Raw genomic sequence first — 24603 nt, 5'->3', positions numbered from 1 at the left:
ATCTTCTCACACCAATGTCCAGAGGTGGAATAAAGGGAATAGCCTTTCATTGTGTCTCTTTCTAAGAGTGAAGAAACTTTACCAGCAACCTCCTGCATAATTATCTTTTCAACGAACCCAGAACTGTACCATGCACCCATGTCTACGACAATCCTGGAAGGCAGAATGATAGAAATCGATATCACACTTTAGGGCTGGGGAAGAGCCCAGGGCCTCTCAAAGGACATGGCTGCTCTGAGGAAGGTGGAAGAAGTCAGGGTTCTGTAAGCAAGAAAGAAGACTTAAAAGGGTAGTTCTTGGTTCAACAACTGATACCATCTGCAACACAAGCATTTGGGCATTCTAAACATGCCTATCTTTCTTCCACAGCAATGATACAAATATAGGAAGTTATGAATAAATATTCATTATCTCTCAGCCAAGAGGACAAGGTTTTCCTTTTCAGGCTAGTGTTTGAGCAACCATTGAATGCTTATGCATGTCGTAGAATCTGTGGGTTCAAAGAGGCCTTGAAGGTCCATGTATCCTCAATATAAAATCCCCATGACTTCTTGTATTAGAAAAGATCCCAGCAAGACATACAGGACACACTCAGATTATCCTAATGTAACAGGAACTCAGAGGATTTGATGCCAGGACTAGCTACAAGTGAGGCCAGGGCTTGGCAAACACCAAGGGCAATGCAGTGGCCAGGGCTAGTGTCAGGGAAACCTCCCTCACCATGCCTAGGAGGCAGAAGAGGGCTCCAAGCGTGGGGCCCCCAACAGGAGTCAAGACCATTGGTTGAGGGACATAGCCAAGCCACAGTGGCCTTGTACGGATGGGAGAGGCAGGGGAAAATGTCCAGACTTTACTTCCTTCTCCACTCAACTGGAAGCCAAAGGGCAGAGGAGCCGCCCAGTGGAATAACTGCAGGTCAGACTCTGGGGTGCAGAGCAGGGGAGAAGAGGGTGGAGATGGCACCGGAGGAGCAAATGGAAGACACCCAGTCCTCCCCATGGTGGGGGCCAGCCACTCCTCAGGCTGCTCATTTCCCCTGGCCAGTTCTGACTGCTGGAAAGTTCCCAGTCAATCCAGGGTCCATGCAAAACAGGTCTAACTCTTCACTTACATGAAAATACTTTAGATAGAGGACAACAGCCCACACACCTCACAGCCAAGTGGTGGAGTGAACAACCTTGAGATGTTAGTTTAGTTCCTTGGCCCCAGGGTACCCAGTGTCTGATGGAATTGGAAAGCTAAGGTCTCCATACATCTTCCCCTTGGCATGTTGTTTCTCAGCTGGAGGTAATTGCATCCCCCACAAGACACTGGCAATGAATAGAGACATTTTTCACTGTCAAAAATGGTGGAAGGCATGCAACTGACATCTAGAGGGTAGAGACCAGGGATGATGCAAAACATCCTATAATGCACAAGGCAGCCCCCACCATGAAGAATGATCTGGCCCCAAATGTCAATAGGCCAAGGATGAGAATCCTGCCCAGGCAGGAGCTGAGCCTGGACAAGGCTGTAGCTGCAAGACCTTTCCCGGGAGCCACCCACGATGTTTCTCTGGGACATCTTTGTTTTCAAGGTGAGCTAATGCTGAAATCTGTGTTTTCAAGGTAAGATAACGCAAAACAGTGCTAGAGTCCTTGAAGAACTGGAGGGAAGGAATAAGCAGCAATGGAGTTTCAGGGGTGCGGGGAGCGGGAGGAGATGAGAGCTGTTTGTTTGCAGTGGGAATGGCAATTGTTGAATTTCCCCTTGCCTGGCCCCGGCTTCTCAACTAATGCAAGGGGGAGCCCTGAGCCACCCTTGATATCCTGCGAGCCATCCTCACATCACAACATCAGCTTTCGCAGGCAAGCATGTAAACAAGAAGACCAGCCACGAGAAACATAAGAAAGAAATAAAAGTTGTTTGGTCTTCTGTCAGGAACAGATTGTTGGAATATTCCAACCCCAGTCCAAAAAGAACAACCAACAATAACAACCGGGAGACCGCAGCCCACGCTGAGACACACGAAGCCTTCGCTTTTCCCGGTGCCGCGGACCGTTTCCAGGAGAACGCGCCGCTGGCATCGTCCTCTGTTTTTGCCATGGCCTGGGGAGCTCTAGTGTTTGTCCAAGCACCCGCATTAGGGCCAAGAAATATGAAAATGTCATCTGTGAGCATGAATCAGGAGCAAGTGAACTTCTCATCTGCTGAAAGTCAGCAGGTGTGAGTATTCTGACAAACATCTGCAGTCCTGCAGCAATTCCTCATTTATTTGGCATCAACAGATCAGCTGGAAATATCATATTTTAAGTGAATCTTCCAGATAGCTCAAGTTCACCCTATTAAAGAATATCCTTAATGATGTAGCCTTTTAGGGTGAAGACAACTTTCCAAAAGGTATCTATTGCCTTTACTTCAATCAAGTATATTGACAATATTTCTATTTTTTAACTGGCTCAGAATAATGAGTATAATGTAATAATAAAAATAATAAGATGTCTGCAGACCTAGGGGTAGTTTGCCCAGACATTAAATGAACCCAGATCAGAACCTTTTTCCCCCTGCTTTTTTTTTTTAACTCTTTATCCTCCCTTTGTGTAGCTGTCAGCTGCTACTCTTTACTTACATCTCCCGACCTGTCCATCTGTAATCCCTGCCTTCTAGTAATTGCCGCTGTGGGCTAGGACAGTGGTTCTGAATGTTGGCAGCATGCTGAAATCTCCTGGGTCCCATCTCCAGAATTGTGTTTTCACTGGCCTAGGCAAGAGGACAGTTTGCAACTCCCCAGGTGACTGTGTTGAGTAGCCAAGGCTGAGAACCACTGAGATGGGAAATCCAGTATCTTATCTGTTAGAATTGTGCACAAAATAAGAGTTAATATGATCTGAGAGATTTTCCTACAAATAAGCTTTAGTGTATAAACCTTTGGCATGTATTTTGAGCTCTTCGAATCTGCAACTTTCTCATTCTTAGCTGTACCTCAGCAATGTGACCTCAAGCTAGGAGAGAGGTAGAAAGGACCAGTGGTTAAGTGTTTGGGGTCTAGAGCTCAATTACCTAGGTTCAAACCTCAACTCTGTGGCCTCGAGCAAGTATCTTAACCTTTTTGAACACCAGCCTCATCTATAAGTGTTGGAAGGACTCAGTGAGTCAGTGCACAGAGAGGGCTGGGGACAGGGTCTGGCACGTCACAACACTCAGCACAGTCAGCGTTACAGGCAGGGTCTGGCAGGGTACAGAATTCGCTTCAGATGAACAAGGAGGAGAGGCAGAGGTGCGAACTGGGAAAAGAGCGCAATTCAAGGCTACTGTGGTTCCCAGAGGCTGGCGAGTGAGAAGCTTGACTAGCCTGGACAGGAAGCGGGAGGGGAAGAAGATGTGTTATGAGATCCCAGGGAAAGCTGAGGCTGTGGAGAGAAGCAGGGAGGCAGCAGAGAGGAAGCACCCGACTCCCATTCTCCCTCCAGCCTCCGACCTCTTGCAGGAGCCTCCCTCCCGCTGGCTGGATCCAGTGAGAAGCCAGGGAGTGGAAAAGAAGTGGCCCTCAGGCTCAGCTTCTCAAGAGGCAAGGCAAGGCAAAGGAAGAAAGAGAATGAATCTGGGTGGGTGGGAGGCAGGCAAATGGAGAAGAACCAGCCGAGTTAGCTATTACTAATCATTCCGTAGCTGGGAAGTCACCAAAGAAAGTCCCTATTGCCCTAGAGTGGGTGAACGCTACACAACATCCGCTGTAGAATCAGAAAGAGAATTGCCCCTCAAGTTCCCACATGCTGGAAGAAATGTGCCTCCACCACAGACCTTTAGCACCAAACTGAGATGGTTCAACACTGCTATGGGCAAAAGTCCAATTTTTTAAGATGTCCTAGCCTCCTTGAGAATCTCAGGGCTGAGGGCAACGTGCCTCATCCCTGTGGACTAGTTCGCGCTGCTCTCTGAGCCTTTTCTCACCAGCTGGCCTCTGTCTCTTTTCCACCCCCTGCCCATGCCTGTCAGAACTCAGACCTCCTAGCTCACTTCCTTTGCTAATTGAAACACATTCCTGAGCCCCATTTGTAACATGCTTTGGAATTTCTTCCTCCACCACTTCCCCACCCCCAAACGCCACCTCTCTCTTCTCACTCATGAATGTTGACCTTTTGTCTAATAAAAGCTTCATTCTTCCAACCTCCCACTATTGACTTAAGTAGCCATTCTTGGCTGTGTTTACATTTGCTCTCCAAAACCATAGTCTCACTACCTATCAAGTACTCAGTGGTGTAAGTAGAGGCAGAAACCCTTTTCTTCCAGCAGCTTCCATTTTAAGTGTAAGGACAAGAGACATTGCTCAGAGTGGCTGGTGGCTTTCCCAGTGGATGTCTTTGCAGCGTGATAGTTCCGCCCCATGCTTTGCCACTGCACCATATTACAAATGAAAATTAGTCACTTCCAGATGCACCCCCCGGGCATCAGAGCCCTCTTGTACTGTGCTGGTACACTTGCTTCGCTGCCTTGGAAACTCTGCAGTGACTCTATTTTCATTTCCATCACTAGTTTGTTTGTTTGTTTGTTTGTTTGTTTCCAGATCCTGTAACCAAAGAGCTATTCCTTTGCCAGGATCTAATTGAACTATTCATCCTTGTTCCTCCATTATGTTCCTTCCAAATTCCTTTGAATCCCTCTTTCCCATCACATATGCATTATGCTATAATAATGGCCACTATTTGGCTCTGTTTTCCCTTGGAAGCCTGGCACATGTTACTACTGTGCTCTCCTGAGTAAAGAGAGAAGGTGGAACCAATCCTGTTCCCCTCTGGTACTCAGATGCCCTTCTGCAAAAGCATCAGAATCAGGGAACCAGGACCTCCAGAAAGAGCTGGGTTTGAAGTTAAAAAAAATCCTAATGAGGTTTGACTTGGCAGAATTTTAAGCACTGATTTGGGTTCAGGTGGGCCAAAAGCGTGAGTAGCAGCAACAGCAGCACCCTCTGTGTACCCACTCCCTGCAAACCCCTGTTCTAGGCCCTAGGAATTCCATCAATCCCTACCCTCAAGGAACTTACATTTTAGATAAGGAGAGAAGACTCAGCATGTGTGCGCGTGCGCACACACACGTGCACACACACATGCACGCACACACACACGTGCACAGGTGCACACACACGCATGCACACATACATGCACACACACACAGAGCCAATAATGCAGGCTAGCATAGAATGAATGCCAATTAAGTAGTAGCTAAATAATAATAATTAACTTGCATTTAAAAATCTGTAACACAGGCATTTCTCTTAATCAAGACTCATTTTCTCCCAGGTAATTTCCATTTTAATTGGTATTGGTGGAGGTTTTAATTAGATTTCTTAATCTATCTCTGTTTCTGTTTGCACAACTGAAAGATGTCTCCCACTTCCAAATCTAGCGTATTGTTTGAAATTTTGAATTTATGACATCTCCACAAATTTACTATAGATTGATCCATCAGTATCTAATGATGTCTTGAGATGATTTCTTATGATTAAAACACTTTAAAGTAGTGATTATCTAAAGTAGAATCTAACTTCCCGTTTGAGGAGGTTGAAACATGTGCTTCCTATCTTCGGTTCTCATTTTTTTTAATGTGGGTGCTGCTTTAGCAAAGCCAATAACTACAAGAACATCCTCCCCCAGTTTGAGTAGATGTGTCACCAGAAAAGCAAAAGTCCAATGCTGAGTGATTTGAGTGGCTTGGAAGAATTTCCCAGCTTGCAGCTTATACTGAACGAGCATTAATACAAGTAAACCATTAACTCATCAGTCACACCTGCTCTGTTTGCTCTGTGCTTGTTTCTATCCTAGCACCCTTGACAAAGTGCTGAGCTTGCTGCCTGTGGGCATGTCGGCCTCCTTGCTAGACCATTCACTAGCTGAGAACATGCAGGAGGTCTTTTAAAAAAAATTTTGTATATATATATATGTGTGTGTGTGTGTGTGTGTATGTATGTATTTTAATTGACAAATAAGAAATGCGTATATTTTATGATGTACAGCATGATCTTTTGAATGTTTGTGCAATGGCTAAATCAAGCTAATTAACATATGCATTAGCTGACATATATCATTTTTTTAGGGTAAAAATATTTAAAATCCACTCTCTTAGCAATTTTCGAGTATGCAATACTTTACTATTAACTATAGTCACCATGACACACAATAGATTCTCTGAACTTACTCCTCCTAACTGAAATTTTGTATCCTTTTACTAACATTTCCTCAATCCCTGTACCTCCTCTCCCCAACCTTAGCCTCTCATAACCACCTTTCTACTCTCTACTTCTATGAGTTCCACTTTTTTACAGCCTGCAAGTAAGTGAGATCGTGTTGTATTTGTCTTTCTGTGTCTGGTTTATTCCCCTGAGCAAAATGTCCTCCAGGTTCACCCATGTTGTCACAAATGCCAAGATGGCCTTTTTTGAGGATATGTAGTATTCTACTATCTATATGTCCTGCGTTTTCTTTATTCATCTACATTTATTCATTTATCCATTGGACACTTAGGTTGATTCCATAACTTGGCTCTTGTCAATGCTGCTACAATGAATATGGGGGTGCAGAGAGCTCTTTGACACACTGATTTCATTTCTTTAGATTTGTACCTAGAAGTGTGTATATATCTAGACCAGAATGGAATTGCTGGGTCATATGGTAGTCCTATTTTTAATTTTTTGAGGAATTTCCCTACTGTTTTTCATAAGGACTGTACTAGTGTACATTTTCCCCAGCCGTGTGTAAGGGTTCTTTTATTCACATCTTCACCAACACACATCATTGGTTTTTTCATGCTTTATTTTTTGGTAATAGCAATTCTAACAGGTCTGAGGTCATATATTATTGTGATGCAGTAGGTATTATTCAGCTTGGTACAGTGAGTACAGCAGAGAGTACAGTTCCCAACAGAGAGTACAGTGCTCTGTGCCCAGCAGGCCCAGAAGTGGATTAACGAGTTGATTGAATAACTGATTAGTGGGAAATAAGGAAAGCATTAATACTCCCAGAGAGCAAGGATAGACCTAGGGGTGCTTGTGAGAAACCAAGGTTGATCTACAGCATTCACAGCCTGGTGAAAGGGGCCCAGAGTGTGGCACCAGCTGTAGCCCTGTCTGCACTGAGGGCCAGGTGAGTGAGATGTGACTGGGTACCCCTTCCAGGTCCAGGGAAGAATCTGAAGAGTGGGGCCCACATCACCCTTCAGAACATAAGACATGGACACTCCCTGATCACAGGGACAGCCCAGGTCATTTAGCCCTATCCCATACCCCTTTATAACAAAATACTCTATTATTACTTCCGTAAAACTTGGAAATTGAGATATGTGCAAATGAGGGTATGTTCCAAAAAGCTCCTAACAAATACTAACTCCAATTCTCATCTGGTTCTTGGGCTTGACATAGAGAGGGAGAGAGAGTGGAAAAAGGATTTGGTCTCAAAACAACTTTTGGATTTTGCCTGGAAACAGTATCTCGTAGCATGTTCATTGCAGCCTTTGGCTGAATTCTTTCATTAGAAAGAGGAAAAGCACATTTGGATGTTGACGTGACATTCAGGTAGGCAACATTTCTTTGCTCGACTTGGGAAAATGCTAATGAAGAAGAAACCAATCCTATAAAAAGAGGTCAGAGTACGTCAAAGTACCTGTCCACCCCCATAGTCGTTTTCCTTAATCTTGACATCTGAATCACTTGCTGTCGGGTGAACACAGGAATTTTCCAGGGAACAATCTCATATTGAGTGAGGCTCTACTCACGGTTGCCCTACATGTCATGGGTGTCCATTTCGGCCTTCCATTGTATGAACAATGCCCAGGGTAATTCGGATCTTGATAACATTGACTCACAACCTCAAATAAATGAAGTCATATCAAGCCACTGGCAAGACGGAATCTGCCGGCCGGAAAGGGAGTAGAAGGCTAGACCACAGGCGGGGACTGTGTGGAGGGCAACACAGGTGAACGCACACAGATAGGCGCAGTCCCCGGCCGTTCGCACCTCAGCATCGGTGGCACTTGTCATGATTCAGGTTGCCCTTGCTTTCAGCAAATTCAACCCTTTTGAATGCTTGTTTTTATAGAAACTAAATTAGAGAGGGATTATTCATTTACAAACAAATTGTTCATTTTAACCAGAGTCTTAAGTAACTGATACCTCTGTGCTAGTTATAATTTTTTTAATCTCAACTTGGATACACATTTTCAAGAATATATCTATTAGGTAAAGTACACTCACATAAGGAAAAGTAGATGGTTAATTGCCTGGCTATTTAATTCCCAATATCATAATCTTGGACACTCCTTTCAATAAACCTTCACCTAGCCAATTCCCAAGAAATCACTTCCTCAAGTGAGTTAAACTGGGCAACGGTTAAGCAATAGGAGTGTCTTTTTTTCAGATGCCAGCACAGAGCCACTTGTCCCTGTTAATCACGAAGACTGGAAAACAAGCAGAGCTATGTGACGGATATATTCACCAGACCCTATCTCTGTGGGAGGCGGTGTTTTGGCACAGACAGGCTGATGATTTCAGGGTCAAGAGGGAAGTGATTAATCAAACTGGGAAGAAGACAGAGGAAAATCCAGCAAACAGCTATGAAGAACATATAAAAACAACAACCACCCAATATCTGTATGGGTAAACAACGCTCCGTTTGCACACTGGAGAATGCAATGAAGTGTGACCAGGATGAAGCCGAAAACAAAGAAATGATGCTTCCAACTGCGGCTCCCAGGCATGGCTTTTCTTTCTGCACCTTGGAGACTCCTCTGCAGCTCCATTCTCATCCCACACCTCCAGGGTCTGTGCACACCAAGGCAGGTGGAAGGGGAGGCAAGGAACTGAGCAATCTGAGGTTAGGTGGGGGAAAGGAAACACACCTTCTACTATTAGTGCAAAACGAGAATTTTCCCAGTTACCGATCTTGAAATAAATTCATCAGATGATAGCGTTCTCCTTCTTCTTTTGCCCCTTCTTTTGCTCACACATCCTACCTTAATTTGAAACATTGCAATGAAAGAGAAATGTAAAAAGCAAATCTAGACCAAGCTGCGTTCAAATGTGCATGTAGCCAGAAACCTTAAAAGTAGAAGGTGATCATTTTGTTTTGTTTGAATTTTTTAAAAAGTATAACATCTGTCAGGTACTGACTGTGAATTCTACATCTTGTACTGAGTCGCCCCTCTCTTCTATGGAACATTAGAAAGCAAGAGGAACTACCATTTGTGATAGACGAAGACAGATTTGCAGGTGGAGGGAGTGACAAGACCTGATTTGTTTTCTGCACATAATGAGTAATCCTTCAGACACAGAGATCCTCATCTGCAGCACGAGAGAAAAGGTAAACCAAGTCCCCAGGCTCAGCACCCATGGAAAGGAGCAGAGGGAGAGAGTCCTCTGAGTTGGCACACGAGTTCTGCACCGGGCTGTCCTTTGATATGACAGCTCTCTTCTGTGGTGGGGCCACCTAAGAAGTGCTTGGGAAAATATCTTGATAGGAGAACTAGACGGAAACATGCTTTCAGAGAAGGGATGTGTCTTGTTGCTTATTGTGGTTTTTCAATACATGAGCCTAGTTTACATAGCAGGGGCCCAAATGCAGCTCTGTATAATATTGTCATACTTCAGCTATGTGCGTGTTTATCATTTCTTTACCAACAACAGCTGGAGAAAATGGCTGAGATTGGAGAGGAGGGAGCAGAGGTAGAGAGGAAGTCAAAACCTTGGAATGGATGACATACCACTTCCCCAATGAATGAAGCTGCAGATTCAGCCACATGTAGTTGATGTCGCCATGTCAAGACTGCATTTTTCCTTCCAAACACAGAAGTATGGGGTAAACTTAATGCAGGACTATGAAGATGAAGCCATTGAGGCCCAAGACTTTATCTTGATTTCTTCAATTCCTTGGATATGTTTACTCCCTCCCCACACTGGGCCCTTGTAGCTGCTTAGACTGAACCTACTGGCCCTTCTCTTGCTGGAAAGTTGCCCTCCAAGAAGTGCAAGAGCTCAGATTGCACCTGCTAACTGTTAAGACCAGACTTGGCCAGGCTACCAGATCTTTCTGCAACAAGGCCAGCTTCACACTGCCTGAGCAGACCTTTCTGTTCTGCCAAAGGCAGCTGAAGCAGGGAAAATGGATCAGCAAAGGGATCTGGGCCAGGCGCAGTGGCTCATTTCTCTAACCTCAGCACTTTGAGAGGCCAAGGTGGGAGGATCACTTGAGGCCAGGAGTTCAAGACCAGCCTGGGCAACAAAATGAGACCGCATTTCTACAAAACAATAAGGTTAAAAAAAATTAATCAGGTGTGGTGGCAACTGTGGTGCCAACTCTTGAGACACTAAATCGGGAGGATCACTTGAGCCCAGGAGATGGAGGCTGGAGTGAGCTATGATAGCACCACTGTATTCCAGCCTGGAAGATAGAGTGAGACCCTGTCTCAAAAAAAGTAAATAAAGGAATCTGAACTTGAAGAATGGGCCAAAAAAGAGTGATACTTGACTGCGGTTCCTCTTTGCCTGTGCCGTCACCTGGGATTGGAATTCTGCATTTCCCACCCCCAATTCCCTTCTCCAGTCATCTAACTCCTCTGCTTCCTCCAATACTCAGCTAAGGCATTACCTCCTCCTAGAAGCCTTCCCTGAAATCCTCAAGCAGTTCTCTTTCTTTGACTTCCCTCTTTGGAGCCTCAACTGTCTCTTTGGGTTTGTCTGTCCTGCTAGACTGAACGTAAATAACTAATGAGGGTATCTGCATGGAAAGAAACAGACCCTTCTAAGTGCTGTGTTAAGTAACTTCACTGAACCAGATGAGAGCATTAGAGCAGCTGCTTTCTAGGGTTTTGCCAGCTCCTGTATGCGGACGTGAGGCTGCTGGGGATGTTGCTATTAGTGATAAAGTTAAGGGTCCAAGAGGTTCTTTGCTTCACGACTACGTCATTGGAGGCTGATAAGCCATGGCCAAGTGTGTTCAAGGTCTCCAGCTGTCATAAAAGTGTCTGCTTGTTTATTTTAGGTAGATAAGTGTTGCTATTATTCCTGGGATGGTAGGAAAAGCCGGGGGCAAGAAATCACTCTGTGAAGATATATTGAGATCCCTGGAACATTTAAAAAAAAAAAAAAAAAAGGTTGAGGGGAGGGAGAGAAACCACATAGCCTGCATTTGGTGATACTGTAATTCTAGCTCCCTTTAATTACAGTTAATCACTACTTACTATTTTGTAATCTAAGGTAATGAACACTGTAGCTTTGCTTGCTAATTGAAGTTGACAGAATGCGAGAAAGCGCCCTATGGCAAACCCCTTTCATCAGGAGAGTGTTTTATCTTTGTTTATCAACAAGAGAGTGGATTTTTTGTTTGTTTATTTTAAGGAGTCACACTCTGTTGCCCAGACTGGAGTGCAGTGATGCGATCTCGGCTCACTGCAACCTCTGCCTCCTGGGTTCAAGCAATTCTTCTGCCTCAGCCTCCAGAATAGCTGAGAGATTATAGGCACGCACCACCACACCCGGCTAATTTTTGTACTTTTAGCAGAGTCAGGGTTTCTCCATGTTGGCCAGGCTGTGCTACAACTCCTGACCTCAGGTGATCCACCCGCCTTGGCCTTCCAAAGTGCTAGGATTCAGGCATGAGCCACCGCATCCGCCCAAGAGTGTTTGTTTGTTTGTTTGTTTGTTTGTTTTTTAATGGTTTACTCTAGGTTTAATTCAGAGGAAGTAAGAGATTATTCTGCAGAACACCCTTGGGTATTTAACCTGGCACAACTCAATTAATAAGTGATCCATTTTACTATTACAAACTAAATTTATCTTTGGAAATAATGACAGACCGAAACAACCCAGAAACTACATATATCTATTTTGTATGAATTAAAAAGGAAAGAAATCACCAGAAAGAAAAAAAAAGAGTTATTTAATTGAGTGCATGGCCCCATAAGGGCAATTGGAAACCTGTATTTAAGTTTGTATGCAATTTTGTGTATGCATTTTCTGGAAAGAAAAGTCATACTTTATTCAGATACCCAAGGAGGTCTGTGATATCCCCTCTGCCAATCTCAACTTAGATATTAGTGTTTAGTGAATGAAATAGTCCATAAACTAGATTGACTATAAATCTGGTAATAATGTTGTAAAATAAAGGTTTTCCACGCTCTACAAAAGAAAACCAAAACAAATAGCATAGCTATAGTTCTCTCAATCCTCATCCCCAAATTCTCTGCAGCTCCCTAAATAGCCTAAGACACCAGAGAAAGTCAGAAATTTATTGTCACAGCAGCTAGAATGACCTGTCACCTAACCAGACAAAGTCCAGAGCAGAACTGAAGGAGCAGAAGTTCTTAGAAGGTTTACCTTGCACTGCCATCACTCACTTCCAGCCCAAAACCTTTAACAGGTACTTTGTTTGTAGTGAATGGCTTAACTTCACTGAATTGCAGTTAACCTCAAACGTTTGGGTTTTTTGTTAAATGTTTTAAGACGAGAGGAAAATAGCACTTTTACGTAATAAGAAATTTCAGATACTTGACCTCTCTAAGTTCACAAATTCCCATTTTAATTTTCATTTTTACTGAAATTTCTTACAGAGAAGTAAAATCCCTCTTCCTAATTTCAAGCTGATTTAAATACCTCTGAAACCAGGTTAAAACCTAGGATATGATATAGTTCTCCCATTTGGGCCAGTTGAAATAAATATAAATTTAGCCCTTTTTCCCCAAATATTGGTTGTGTGTGTGTGTGTGTGTGTGTGTCTGTGTGTGTGTGTGTGTGTGATGGAGCTTCGTTCTTGTTGCCCAGGCTGGAGTGCAGTGGCCCAATCTCGGCTCACTGCAACCTCCGCCTCCTGGGTTCAAGTGATTCTCCTGCCTCAGCCTCCCAAGTAGCTGGGATTACAGGTGCCTGCCATCACGCCAGGCTAATTTTTGTATTTTTAGTAGAGACAGGGTTTCACCATGGTGGCCAGGCTGGTCTCAAACTCCTGACCTCAGGTGATCTGCCCGCTTCGGCCTCCCAAAGTGCTGGGATTACAGGCACGAGCCACTGCACCCAGCTGGTAAATTCTTTATTATCATTAAAAGCCAACAATTTTGACTCAGTCTTATTCTATATATCTGTTCTTTCATTCTTCTTGTATTTCAATGAATGCTTCTATAAGTATACTGACTTCAGCCAGGAGTGGTGGCTCCCGCCTGTAATCCCAGCACTTTGGGAGGCCAAGACAAGATCACTTGAGCCCAGGAATTTGAGACCAGCCTAGGTAACATGGCGAAACCCCGACTCTATTAAAAAGCAATACAAAAGTTATGCAGTCTCGGTGGCGCATGCCTGTAGTCCCAGCTACTAGGGAGAGTAAGGAGGGAGAATCGCCTGAGCCTGGGCAGTTGAGGCTGCAGCAAGCCGAGATCGCGCCACTGCACTCCAGCCTGGGCGACAGAGTGGGGCCCTGTCTGAAACAAAATAAAAGTATATTATAGATGCCGTTTTTACCTTGACTCACTGACATCCAGTTTCAGAGCCAGCAAAGCTGAGGCCCAACTCTGCTGTGGTCTAAATCTGTTGTAGGGTGAAGCCTGAGGGTCAGTTTGGTGCCCCCTTTTACTTTTCTCTACTTAAATTCAATCTATTCTTACGGCATAATACTTAGAAATAAACTTTCTATTATAAGCCTTAGATATAATATTCAAAGGTAATTAGTTTATTGGAGAACTGGAGAAAGGCCATTTTTTAAACAGTTTATTGGAGAACTGGAGAAAGGCCATTTTTCTCCCCCAGACAAGACCCGTATCTCCACAGGCATTGACAATAGCTTCCTAATTTTTTTTTCTTACTAGCTGATTAGTGCTATGTCTAATGAATTGCCCATACCCTTGTTCCCTAGGATTGTTGTTGAAAATATATGCAGCAATCAGCATATGTATTTAGTTGAAAACCAATGTCTCCAACAGCCTTAAAAGCCCAGCTTTCTCTTCTAATATCAAAATATTCTATTTTACTAATAAACCATTTCTTAAGCCATGTAAAATAAAGTCTAAGTACAAATCTTAAGGCATTATGAAAAGATACTTGGGAACTACATCCCTGCAGCCAAGGAAGTGGTGGTTTTTTTTTTTTTTTCAAAGACATCTGACCTTATCAAAGCTTCAGACCAAGAATTCAGTTCATCAGTTCATCTGCTATCTAATAAGCACAAGAGCCATTTGTCCTTCACATGATAAGGTCATGGTACATTACAAGCCACTTGCAGGTTTTGTTTTCTTGAAAGGACACATTTGCAGGGAGCACTGCCAGAGAGAAACGACTGGCTGAAATCAAATAGTCGACATCAAGGGATACCTATTTCAGAAAAAGCGATTGAAGGCAGCAGCCAGAAATGCTGAGATTTTCATATGAGGGATGTTTGTAATCATAAGCCAGCAGGTAATTCCAGCATGTGCAGATTCTCTTTGACATGGTGCTATAAAAACTCTTGGGCTAAAAGCAAAATCTCTACCTGACAGAAGCAATCCTCACTCCCATCTATTGATACTTTGCTCCTGATTCACAGCAATAAATGGTCCTTAAAGTGAATGAGAGGAGGGTAATTCATTCCCTACACACACACCAAGATGAGCCCAGTCTTCTTGCATTAACTTCTTGCTGAATGCAATTGATCCGGACCATTGGCTGGTTTTCCAGAGACTTCAAATAGCCTGACTTGGCTTGTTCAGCCAGTAGGGTTGAGATCAGAGACCCCTACATCAAGGTCACTGAAGGTACCATTGGAAACTACAACTATCCTGGCTTAGACTCAGACCACTGGTTACAACTTCCCATTCCTAGGTGACAAATATAAACCCATACAGTAGTTGAAGACTAAGGACCAATAAAAAGCAGAAAAGTTTTTTTTAATAATAATAAATACACCTGGCTAAAAATTCCAGTGGCCAGAAGGAATAAATTTAGCATCTTAGCTTTCGTTGCTAAAATAGGATCTGCTTCCAGGCTCACTCTTGTAAGGGAATTGTGTATATAATGGCTTCTTTTTCCAGAGTTTGGGGCAGGGTTTCTCAGCATCAGCACTATTAACACCTGGGGACAAATAATTATTTATTGTGGAGTTGCCCTGTGCATTGTAATACGTTTGGCAGCATCCCCAGATGCTACTAGATGCCAATAGCACTATGTCTCCCCCTCCCCCGAATCCACCCAAGTTTGACAATCCAAAATGTCTCCAGATATGGAAAAATGTTCCCTGGAGTAAGTGAGGGGGGAGGGGTGCAAAATCACCCACAGGTGAGAACCACTGCTTTAGGGCATTATTTGTTTATTAATTGTATAAATGTATGGGGTCCAAGAGCAAATTTGTTACATGCATAGATTGCACTGAGGACAAGTCAGGGCTTTAGCCTATCCATCACTTGAATAATATACATTGTACCCATTAAGTAATTTCTCTTGGTCCCCTCCCTTCCCACCCCCTCTCCCTTCCAAGTCTCCATTGTCAATCATTCTACTCTCTATGTCCATGCATACATGGTTTTTTTAGCTCCCACTTATGAGTGAGAACATGTGGTATTTGACTCTCTGTGTCTGGCTTGTTTCACTTAAGATAATGGCCTCAGTTCCATCCATTTTGCTGCAAAAGACATGATTTTATTCTTTTTTATGGCTGAAGAGTATTCCATTGCATTTATATACCACATTTTCTTTACCTAATCCTCCATTGATAGACACTTAAGTTTATCACATATCCTTCTTATTGTGAATAGTGCTGTGATAAACATGTAAATACAGTTATCTTTAGGGCATTATTTAATAAACACATTTCATCTGTACCAATGACACCTCTCCCCTGATTCCTTGCTCTCCAAAAGTACTTCCTTCCAAAAGAATTGCCTCCAAAAGAATTGCCTTTTCTTCTGTAAAAAGGTGACCAGTCTTAGTTTGAACAATTTTTCTGCCAATATTACTAGTCATAAGGACAATACATTAATTGATCCAATTGTTCTTTCAGGATAGAGAAAAGTGCTTCCATCCATACATGCTGGAAAACTTTAAGCATAGATTTATTGAAAGAACAAAATAAGTTAAAGTCCAGAAAATACTGTAGCAATATTCAAGTCATCGAGAAAACCAGAAAAAAATGAAAATTTAAAACTCATCTGAAATCTTCACCTGAAACCACACAGAAATAACCATTGCTGATATTTGGTGAGCGTTTTTCCACTTATCTCTCCTTGTCCATATAACAGATATAAAGCCTGGTAGACACAAAGAAGTTCTTCTGTGAAATAACCCAGGATTCATTATCCCGTAGTTTCATATTGACATTTAGAATAATGAGAGGATACTCATGCAATTTTAAACTTGAAGTATTTGATTTAATTTTCCTTGAATTAACAGATTAAAAAATCTGAAAACTGAAGAATCTGATGAACTTTGGACATTTCTTCACTGCTAGAGATATTAGTTCTTAAAAGGTCCCTATAATTTAAGAAAATGTGCAAAACCTATAGAGCTGGCTGGGAGCAGTGGCTTACGCCTGTAACCCCAGCACTTTGGGAAGGCAAGGCTAGAGGATCACTTGAGCCTAGGAGTTTGAGACCAGCCTGGGCAATACAGTAAGACCCCCATCTCTTAAAAAAGAAACAAACAAACAAACAGAAAAACTTAAAAGAGCTGAAGTTATTGTTATTTTTAAACTGTGCTTTTCACTGTTGACTCCTTGACAGGAAAGATGAGGAAGTCAGTTAACATATTTTTTTCAACCTCTTTTCTTCTCTTACCAGTATGATTAGTTATATTAAAATACTTACTTGTGACCTTTAAATTCTTTTTTTCAGCCTTACTCCCCAAATTGTTTGGTCTCAGTTCTGTTTTAAACGAATCCACAGCCTCTCAGTTTCTGAGTTCTTTATTTTGATTCATTTTTTATTTGGCTGGATTGGTTTTCAAGACACACTTTTTATTTGCAAAAAGAACCCATGGATGCTGTGTTCCTTGAGGTTTGATTCGTTCCTAAATATCTGCCTCCTGCTTTCTTACTCAAGGAACAACTGGGCTAGAGATTGAATTCTTGGGGACCCCTTCTCTTGCTCAATCTTTATAGACACCACTCCACTATCCCTGGTGGTTCCCCAAGCAGTGACCTATGAGCGCGGGATGCTGGGGCATGTGGTTCCTCACAGAGCCCTGATTCTTCCTCTGGGGGCGCCATCTCACTCAGACTGCAGCCTGGGCATGCTCCTGTCACCTCGAGGAGGTGATGGGAGTCCAGCTTTTGTTGGGCCCCCTCTCGCCACTGCCCAGCCCCTGGGCTCAATCTGCATTTCCAGTGGGGAGGTAGCCGGTTGCAAAGCCCCTTCTCCATCTACAAGAATGGCAGCAGAGGCTGACCCTCCTTCCTTGCCCCAGACCTGCCTTCCACATCCGGGGAACTCTGATGGTTGCCGTTTCCCTTCTTCCATGAAGGAGGCTCTACCACTGTCCCTATTTTAAAGATGAGGACACTGAGACATAGAGGAATTAAGGAATATGCCCGTGTTCAGATAGCTAATAAGCTCAAGTCTAGACTTGAACCTAAGAAGACTAAGAGATGCTCTGATATCTACATGGATTATTGTGAGAGAAATGGTCTCTATCTTGACTAAGGTTTGCAAGGATGTAGGCTTACAGAAGCATACATTAAAATTTGGGTTAGGACTAAGAACAAACTTCCTTTCTTGAGAGCAACAGGGCTCAGTCTACCAAAAGAGGTTATAAGTACCCTGTGTAAATGTCCCAGACAAAAATGGCACCTATGCACATGTGACCTCATGGCACCTATCCACGTGTGACACCCTTCCAGCCAACCAAACAATGACCTCATGATGTCAAAGGCCAGGAATGTGAATTGGGAAGGCGAAAATAACAGCTTGCTTTCACTTTCCAAGCACAAGCCAGCCAGCCCAAGACGTTTCTCTCTGCCATGTGCTCCCTGCAGTTCAAGAGGGCCATCCATGCGCCAGACAGATTAAACACTAAAGGAATTCTAGACGATCACTCCTGGGAGGGTTTTTTTCCACTACTTTCTAATCCAATGAAGCCTGGGCTGGCAAAGGCAGTTGAATTGAGAGTGGCTAAATATGCAGAGTCCTTGGAGGTTAGAATACAGTCTGTCTACCAAGAGAAGGCATTTTGCCTTCAGTCTGTCTGGATTTCTAATATCTACTGCAGACTATTAATCATGAAGGCCAGACTCTTGAACCTCTTTGAGTTGTTTCACATTTAATCAGAATCCTCCCCCTTACACACACAAAAAAGCTACAAAATCCTGCCTGGTTATCTGATTTAAATGAATTTTAACATTCAAACAATGGTTTATCTGGAACATATCCCCTGCATCGAACGTATATTTAATAGCTTTGAAATAAAGTCAAACAAAACCAAAAATGCAATTACTATGCATGTCATGAAATCATCAGAATTAAAAATTAGCCAAGGTCATATTGTTCATTTCCTTTAGATTTCCTGTTAAAACACTGGTTACCCCAGATTTTCACCATCAGGAAATGGGAAAAAAATTGAATAACTCATTTTCTATAAGACAATTTCCATCAAATTGTATTGGGTGAGAATTTGGCCCAGAATTTACACTTTAATGTATGATTTTGCATTTTAAATGTCATCTGATTTTATTTGTGATTTTCACATTAAGCAGATGTCATAATTTACCTGAATTCCATGAATAGCTCTGTTCATCCACATACCCATTTTCCATGTATTTAACTGAGCTTTAACTTATTTTATTCTTTTAATGAATGTATACTGTGTTTAACTCAGACTTTTCTATTTTGGCTTTCTGAGATGTGAGGATGGAAATGCTTTTCTCTAAGAACCCTATTCTGGGATAGGGAAGCCAAATTGGAAATGTGGAGCCACACTGATATACAGCTTCCAGAATAGTCATATTTCCCCGTTCCAACCACACATAAATTCCTAAACTTGCTTCACACAGAGAATCTGGGAAGTGAACAAAGCCTATGTTTTCCCTCTTCTACTCTCCAAAGTGTGGGTTGTGTGTTGGCACCTTAGGACAGGAAGGGAATTTAGACCGCATGCTCTTGATTGCACAGTCTGGGAGGGTATGGGGTGGTAAGGAGAGCAAATGTTCAGCTAGGCCAGTAGAATGTTGCCACCAATCTGTCACTAACGCAGCTGCCAAAATTTTCACATTGCCGAGAAAGTAAGTCTTTAAAGCAAAGGCTCTTTGTGCCTTCTTTTTGGAAGTTTCTTGCTAATTTCCTCCTCTGCTTCCCTGGCGATCTGAGAGCTAGAGCTTTTGTACCATCAACTCTCAGCAAATAGAAGCTGGGCCAGCAGGCTGCAAAGCAAAGGGTCTCATTAAACCACAGCCCTTTGCAAGTCAGGTCCGGGCACATGTTTGGCATCAATTTTCTACACTGGGGCATATTCCAAAATACATAAGGCTCTCAATTTTTCTGTTTCTTTAAAAGAAATTCTCCAAAGTCAGATAAAGTTAAGGAATTTGAAAGGTGTTTAAGGTGGAGGTTTCCACTAGGAATAATTATTCCAAGGAGCTGAGTTCCAAATTTGACATCCTCAGGGTAAGACGAGAATCTAACACATCATAGCAATAATGACTGTCTGGTGGTCTGCAAGCTTCACCGCTGGGCCGAAGTGCTCTTTCACTGCACACAGACTTTTAGTTGTTTGGGAATTTTAGCAGAGCAAAAACAAGGGGAAGAGAGAAAATAAGGTAAAAACAAGGTTCAAGTTGTCACAACAGCCATATATTCTGGATTTTCCATGATCCGCATCCATATAATCTCTCTGATTGTTCCCATAAAGGTAGTCATACTCACTAGAATTAGAAAAGTTAAAAGCATAAACTTGGTATAGTTTATAACAGGTAAGACACAACTCTATTGTTCTTTGAGAGCAATGATTGTGCCATATTTATCTTCGTGTTTCTAATGACTTGCACATGACAAAGAGCTCAATTTATGTTGAATGAATGAATTGAAACATAAATATGCTAATGAAAATCAACAGAAATATGGGAGGATAGTTATTGTATTAAGCATTATTGTTTTACCTCTATGACTGATTTTAACATACACTAAGAATGCAAAGACATAGGTTCTAATTGTGGTTCTGCAGAATACCAGGGAGAAAGTTACTTATCCTCCAAAGACTCAGTTTTGCCATATAGAAAATGGAGTTAATAACTTCCCTGACTTAGCTTATGTTATGGAGTTGTTATGTAAACCACCTGAGACACTGAATGTGAAAACGCTTGATAATCGGAAAAGATGCGTACCAATGTACATTTTCATCATTATCGTTATTATTACCAATCATCACGGCTCTGGTACTCAGGGATGCTCAGTCCTCTCAAATCTTGCAAAAAGAAAACTGCTGGGAGCCACAAAACATCTTGTGCCACATGTGAGCTTACTTTCCAAAATGGCTTCGTTTTTATAGTCATTAAAACACAACTCAAAACCTGTCATTCTTTGTCCCTAGTGAGCCAACCAGGACATGATCAAATGTGGAGAATTATGGAGCATGAATCCCAGGAAGAATTCTTTTACAACACACACACACACACACACACACACAGGCTCACACACGTGCTCACACATACATGCTCACACACAATATCACACATCCTTTCAGCACTGAGAATGGTTAATAGTAGGTGTGAAGACTCACCCACAGAAAACTGAGAAATAGTGTGTGACTATTTCTGTGACTAACACACTTTTTATATCATCTTCCTCTTCAATACCATCCTTACCCCAGATGTCCAGGATCTTCAAGTTACTTAGGACCCAGCATACATGTTGCTAAACTTCTACCACTTCTGTAAGTCATTTAATTCAAGCCCATTCACTCAATGCCCAGAACTGGAGTGACAACGGGTGGGATGAGAAGTCATCACCTTCTTCATCACCATCTTTGTGATCTTCATCATTTCATGAACACTTACTCTGTAGCTTTACATTCATCATCTCTGTCTATTGTGACAACATCTTATGAAATATATACTATTAACCCCATTTTGCAGATGGGCAAGTCGAGACTCAGAATGATTAATTTTCCCAAAGGCACACACCCTAATGTGACAGACTCTGGATTTGAAACCAATTCCACCTGATTCTAAAGACCATGTTTTTAACCACCTCACTGTAATGCTGAGTGTTCTTAATCACAGGAAATCTTTGGTGTGCTAGGACAGAGGTTTGCAAGGCCTTCCGGGAGCTTCTCAATGTACATTCTCTACTCTGTTTATTTTTGTCTGTATACCAACATATATTTTTGAACCCTTTTTTATATATGGCCAATGATGCTAGGCCTGGAAGAATATTAAAAACAATTATTTCTATAATGTAAGTGACTACCAGTTATTTAATTTCCGTTTTTTGGGTTATTTGTATTTTAAAAGAAAGGCTATATGCTATAAGCCAAGTGAATGAATCCCTAATGGTACGATTTCTGACACTGAGACTAGCAGATGGAGAAGGATCTTTGTTTCTGTGGTGGGGTGTGTGTCTGTGTGTGTGTGTGTGTGTGTGTGTTAAGGGCGCAGTCAAGCACTGCACTACTCGTACCATACCATGCAGACAACCATCTAATCTGATCTCTCAAAAGGTTTGACAGTATTGGCATCATTCTCAATATCCTCATCCTACACGTTAAAATTGCTAATTAATATTAGTATTTGGTTGCTTTATCTTAAAACAATACCTACCTCTGTTAATAGGAAAATTAGAAATTATATCTATTGTTCCTAAAGATACAATTTGTTTCTCTAACTCCAAGGGAAGTGAATGAATATGTTTCAGACTATACTTGTCTGTGTATTATTTGTTTTTGTAAGGTGGTTTTTTCTTTTGCTTCAAATTGAGAGCATACAAACAAAATTCCACTGTATAAGCAGTCAATTTTGGTAATAATAACACATGCCTAGAGCACTCAGATTAAATTATTACACATACTAATAAAATTATTCACAGTAGTACTCCTTGGTAATGTTGGTATTAGGGAACAGGATAGAACCCATCTTCAAAGTCAACCCTATTACTTCAAGCCTTTGCAGGGTCCTGCTGTTTCCAAGGATACAATCCAATGCTTAATTTACAGGAATCCGAAATCATTTGCTGTGTTAAAAACTTGAGATTAGCCCTTGCTGCCCCCTTCCAGGTTGGCCTTTGGAAGCGAAAGGTCTTTAAGCTTAAGTAAACTGGAGAATATTTCTGAGTAAGCAGGCTCCAGGTGGAGGGTACACTCCAAGATACCTTCACTTGCCAAAACAACACTCCCTGCAAGGTTATCAGCGAAAAGGCAGTAGAAAGAGCCCTCCTGCTGCCAGAAGGTCTTGTTTTGCAAGGCTTCTCAGCCTGCCTGCAGCCATTGGGTGAGGAGAGGAAAGGACACCTCACCTGGCAGAGCAGCACAAAGGTCAGGCATGTTTCCCTCCTGACCTGGAAGCTGGGTCCTGCTCCTTCACATGAACTGTCCAGGGCTTGGTCATATACCCAGGTCCCCCTCAGTCCTGCCCAGAGTGACTCCACTGGTCTCCCCAGAAAACACCAACAGCAGAGAGAAATGAAGTGTGTCTGTTTTCTGGTTTCATATTGCAGCTCCTCTTGCTCTTCTTAGGACAGAAATAACATCTGCAATGCCAGAGACCTGTGAAGTAATAAACAACCTTTCCCCCAGCTCTTGACAAGCATTACCTTGCTTTGAGGTGCAATCAGTTCTGACAAGTTTATGGCTTTGTGTCCTTCAACCCAATGGACATTACCCTCTGGGGGAGTTTAATGACCCCTCTCAGCTTCACACTCACTTGAAGGAAAGAGCTAGAAGTCAGTAATGATGTGTTATGACTTGCATGGCTTCAGGTAGTTCAGAACCTGCAACCTGTAGTTCAGATTACAGGAGAAGAACTCAGACGATAAATTGGCTTCCAAAGAAGGCCAAATAGAAAAAAAAAAGGCTTCTTCAGACCAATAGCTGAGTGACCTGAAATTTAAATGCAAAAAATGCATTAAAACCCACAAAACCACTTCCTTTAAAATTCTTGATACCAAACATGTTACAGCATTAAGTGAACCTTAATCTAAGCAAAATTCAGAGAAGAGCATTCACACCTTTGATAGAAGAGCCAGCCAGCCAGGGTGCTGGGGCTCAGCTCTTGAGAAAAATGTTGATGTAAAAGCCTTGGTGGCCTGGTTCAGCCCCTGAGCCTCCCTGGTAAGCACATGGCAGGCTCAGAACATCCATAACTGAATGCTCTGAGCCCTGTAAAAATGCAGTTACAATGGGAAATCAACTCTTAAGTATGCTATGGGATGCTGTGATAAAATTTGAGTTTCTCTACCTTCTGTTTGCACTTTGGTTCATTTAGAAAAGAGTCCATAATTGTGTGCTTCAAGAGTGCAATTCCATGGCTGTAACAGAATAGAGTCCTCTTTCTTCTGGCCTTTGCCTCTTTGGGGATATTCCAACTCTGTGGAAGGTGATCATTTGCGATTATGATCAGTTATTTATATTTGACTGTAAATGAAAACTTCAGAGTCAGTTTCAAAAAACAAGAGATGGACATAAGGACATGTGCTTATGAGTAGGGGACAAATAACTAGAGACAAGAAATAAAAAGAGACAAGATATGAGACAAGATAACCTTTGATGCCGTACTGCACACACACACACACACACACACACACACACACACAGAATCTACATTGTTTCTGTCACTCTGCGGGGCTGCTGGAAGGCAGAAATGAGAAGCCTCGGCCCTCATCTTGTTTAGAGTTTTGCCTGGGCCAGGCTCTTCTGCTGCATTGGAATTCAACTTTGCAAATCTCAGTGTTTCCAGGTTGACCTCGGGAGAAAGGGGACCCCAGAAAAAATTAGAACAAAAAGGAACAAGTAAGGAGCAGTGTCTAGAATGGGAACACTGACAAAAAGAAGCAAAGTCAGAACACATGGTCTATTTGGGGGGCTGTTAGACAGACCTGGACTAGGCTAATTCCAGGGTTGCCTCCATGTACTCACGGGCCCTCAGAAGGCACTCTTCCCTCTCTTCCCTCTCCAGATCCTTGTCTTCCCATTAGATCAATGAGGATGGAGGACTACACCAGGGACACCCAACTAGGGGCAATTTTGCCTCCCAGGGGTTATTTGCCAATGTGTAGAGATATTTTTGGCTGTCAAAACTGAAGGTGGTGGGTGCTACTGGCATCTAATGTGTGCAGGCCACGGCTGTTGTGAAACATCCTGAAATGCACAGGATACTCTCCAACAGCAAAGAATTATCCAGCCCAGAATGTCAATCATGCCAAAGTTGAGGAACCCTGGCTCCACCATTTGAAGGATCTGATGCAGGTGATCGATGGTCCCCCAGAAGAGTATTGGTCTGGGACCAAGAGTCCAATGGCCATACTTTACATTTTTCCAGGGCCTGAGTGCCAAAGTGACCTACAATCCTTATAAATGTTACCCTGTTTTCTGGCATTCATGAGCATTGGAGGTTGAAAAATGATTCTCTAAGAGAGGCTTGGCCTGCAGTCAAGTTGAAAGGTGAGTGAGAGTGGGTCAGCCTACAAATATGCCATCCACATGGGGCTGCT

General features: G+C 42.5%; 1 protein-coding gene across 2 annotated transcripts in view, besides 5 other annotated features; it reads left to right on the top strand.

Annotated features, from left to right (window-relative positions):
* NEDD9 (neural precursor cell expressed, developmentally down-regulated 9) overlaps positions 1–24603 on the top strand; it is a 199051-nt gene that overhangs the window by 100867 nt on the left and 73581 nt on the right. The gene's annotated exons all lie outside the window — the stretch shown is intronic.
* Positions 3565–3664: an enhancer, noted in NCBI's record as "active region_23983". NCBI's record gives its function as "activates an Ori minimal core promoter by ATAC-STARR-seq in GM12878 lymphoblastoid cells {active_cell/tissue: GM12878}" and the evidence as "EXISTENCE:reporter gene assay evidence [ECO:0000049][PMID:35858748]".
* Positions 3675–3724: an enhancer, noted in NCBI's record as "active region_23982". NCBI's record gives its function as "activates an Ori minimal core promoter by ATAC-STARR-seq in GM12878 lymphoblastoid cells {active_cell/tissue: GM12878}" and the evidence as "EXISTENCE:reporter gene assay evidence [ECO:0000049][PMID:35858748]".
* Positions 3792–4086: a silencer, noted in NCBI's record as "tiled region #1219; K562 Repressive non-DNase unmatched - State 21:Repr". NCBI's record gives its function as "represses a minimal TATA promoter and a strong SV40 promoter by Sharpr-MPRA in K562 cells {active_cell/tissue: K562}" and the evidence as "EXISTENCE:reporter gene assay evidence [ECO:0000049][PMID:27701403]".
* Positions 3825–3894: an enhancer, noted in NCBI's record as "active region_23981". NCBI's record gives its function as "activates an Ori minimal core promoter by ATAC-STARR-seq in GM12878 lymphoblastoid cells {active_cell/tissue: GM12878}" and the evidence as "EXISTENCE:reporter gene assay evidence [ECO:0000049][PMID:35858748]".
* Positions 22691–22870: an enhancer, noted in NCBI's record as "active region_23980". NCBI's record gives its function as "activates an Ori minimal core promoter by ATAC-STARR-seq in GM12878 lymphoblastoid cells {active_cell/tissue: GM12878}" and the evidence as "EXISTENCE:reporter gene assay evidence [ECO:0000049][PMID:35858748]".

The sequence above is a fragment of the Homo sapiens genome, chromosome 6 (assembly GCF_000001405.40).
Source record: "Homo sapiens chromosome 6, GRCh38.p14 Primary Assembly".
In the NCBI taxonomy this organism is placed as follows: Eukaryota; Metazoa; Chordata; class Mammalia; order Primates; family Hominidae; genus Homo; species Homo sapiens.
The sequence above is the reverse complement of the archived record's forward strand: the minus strand, read 5'-3'. Positions and strand labels throughout refer to the sequence as shown.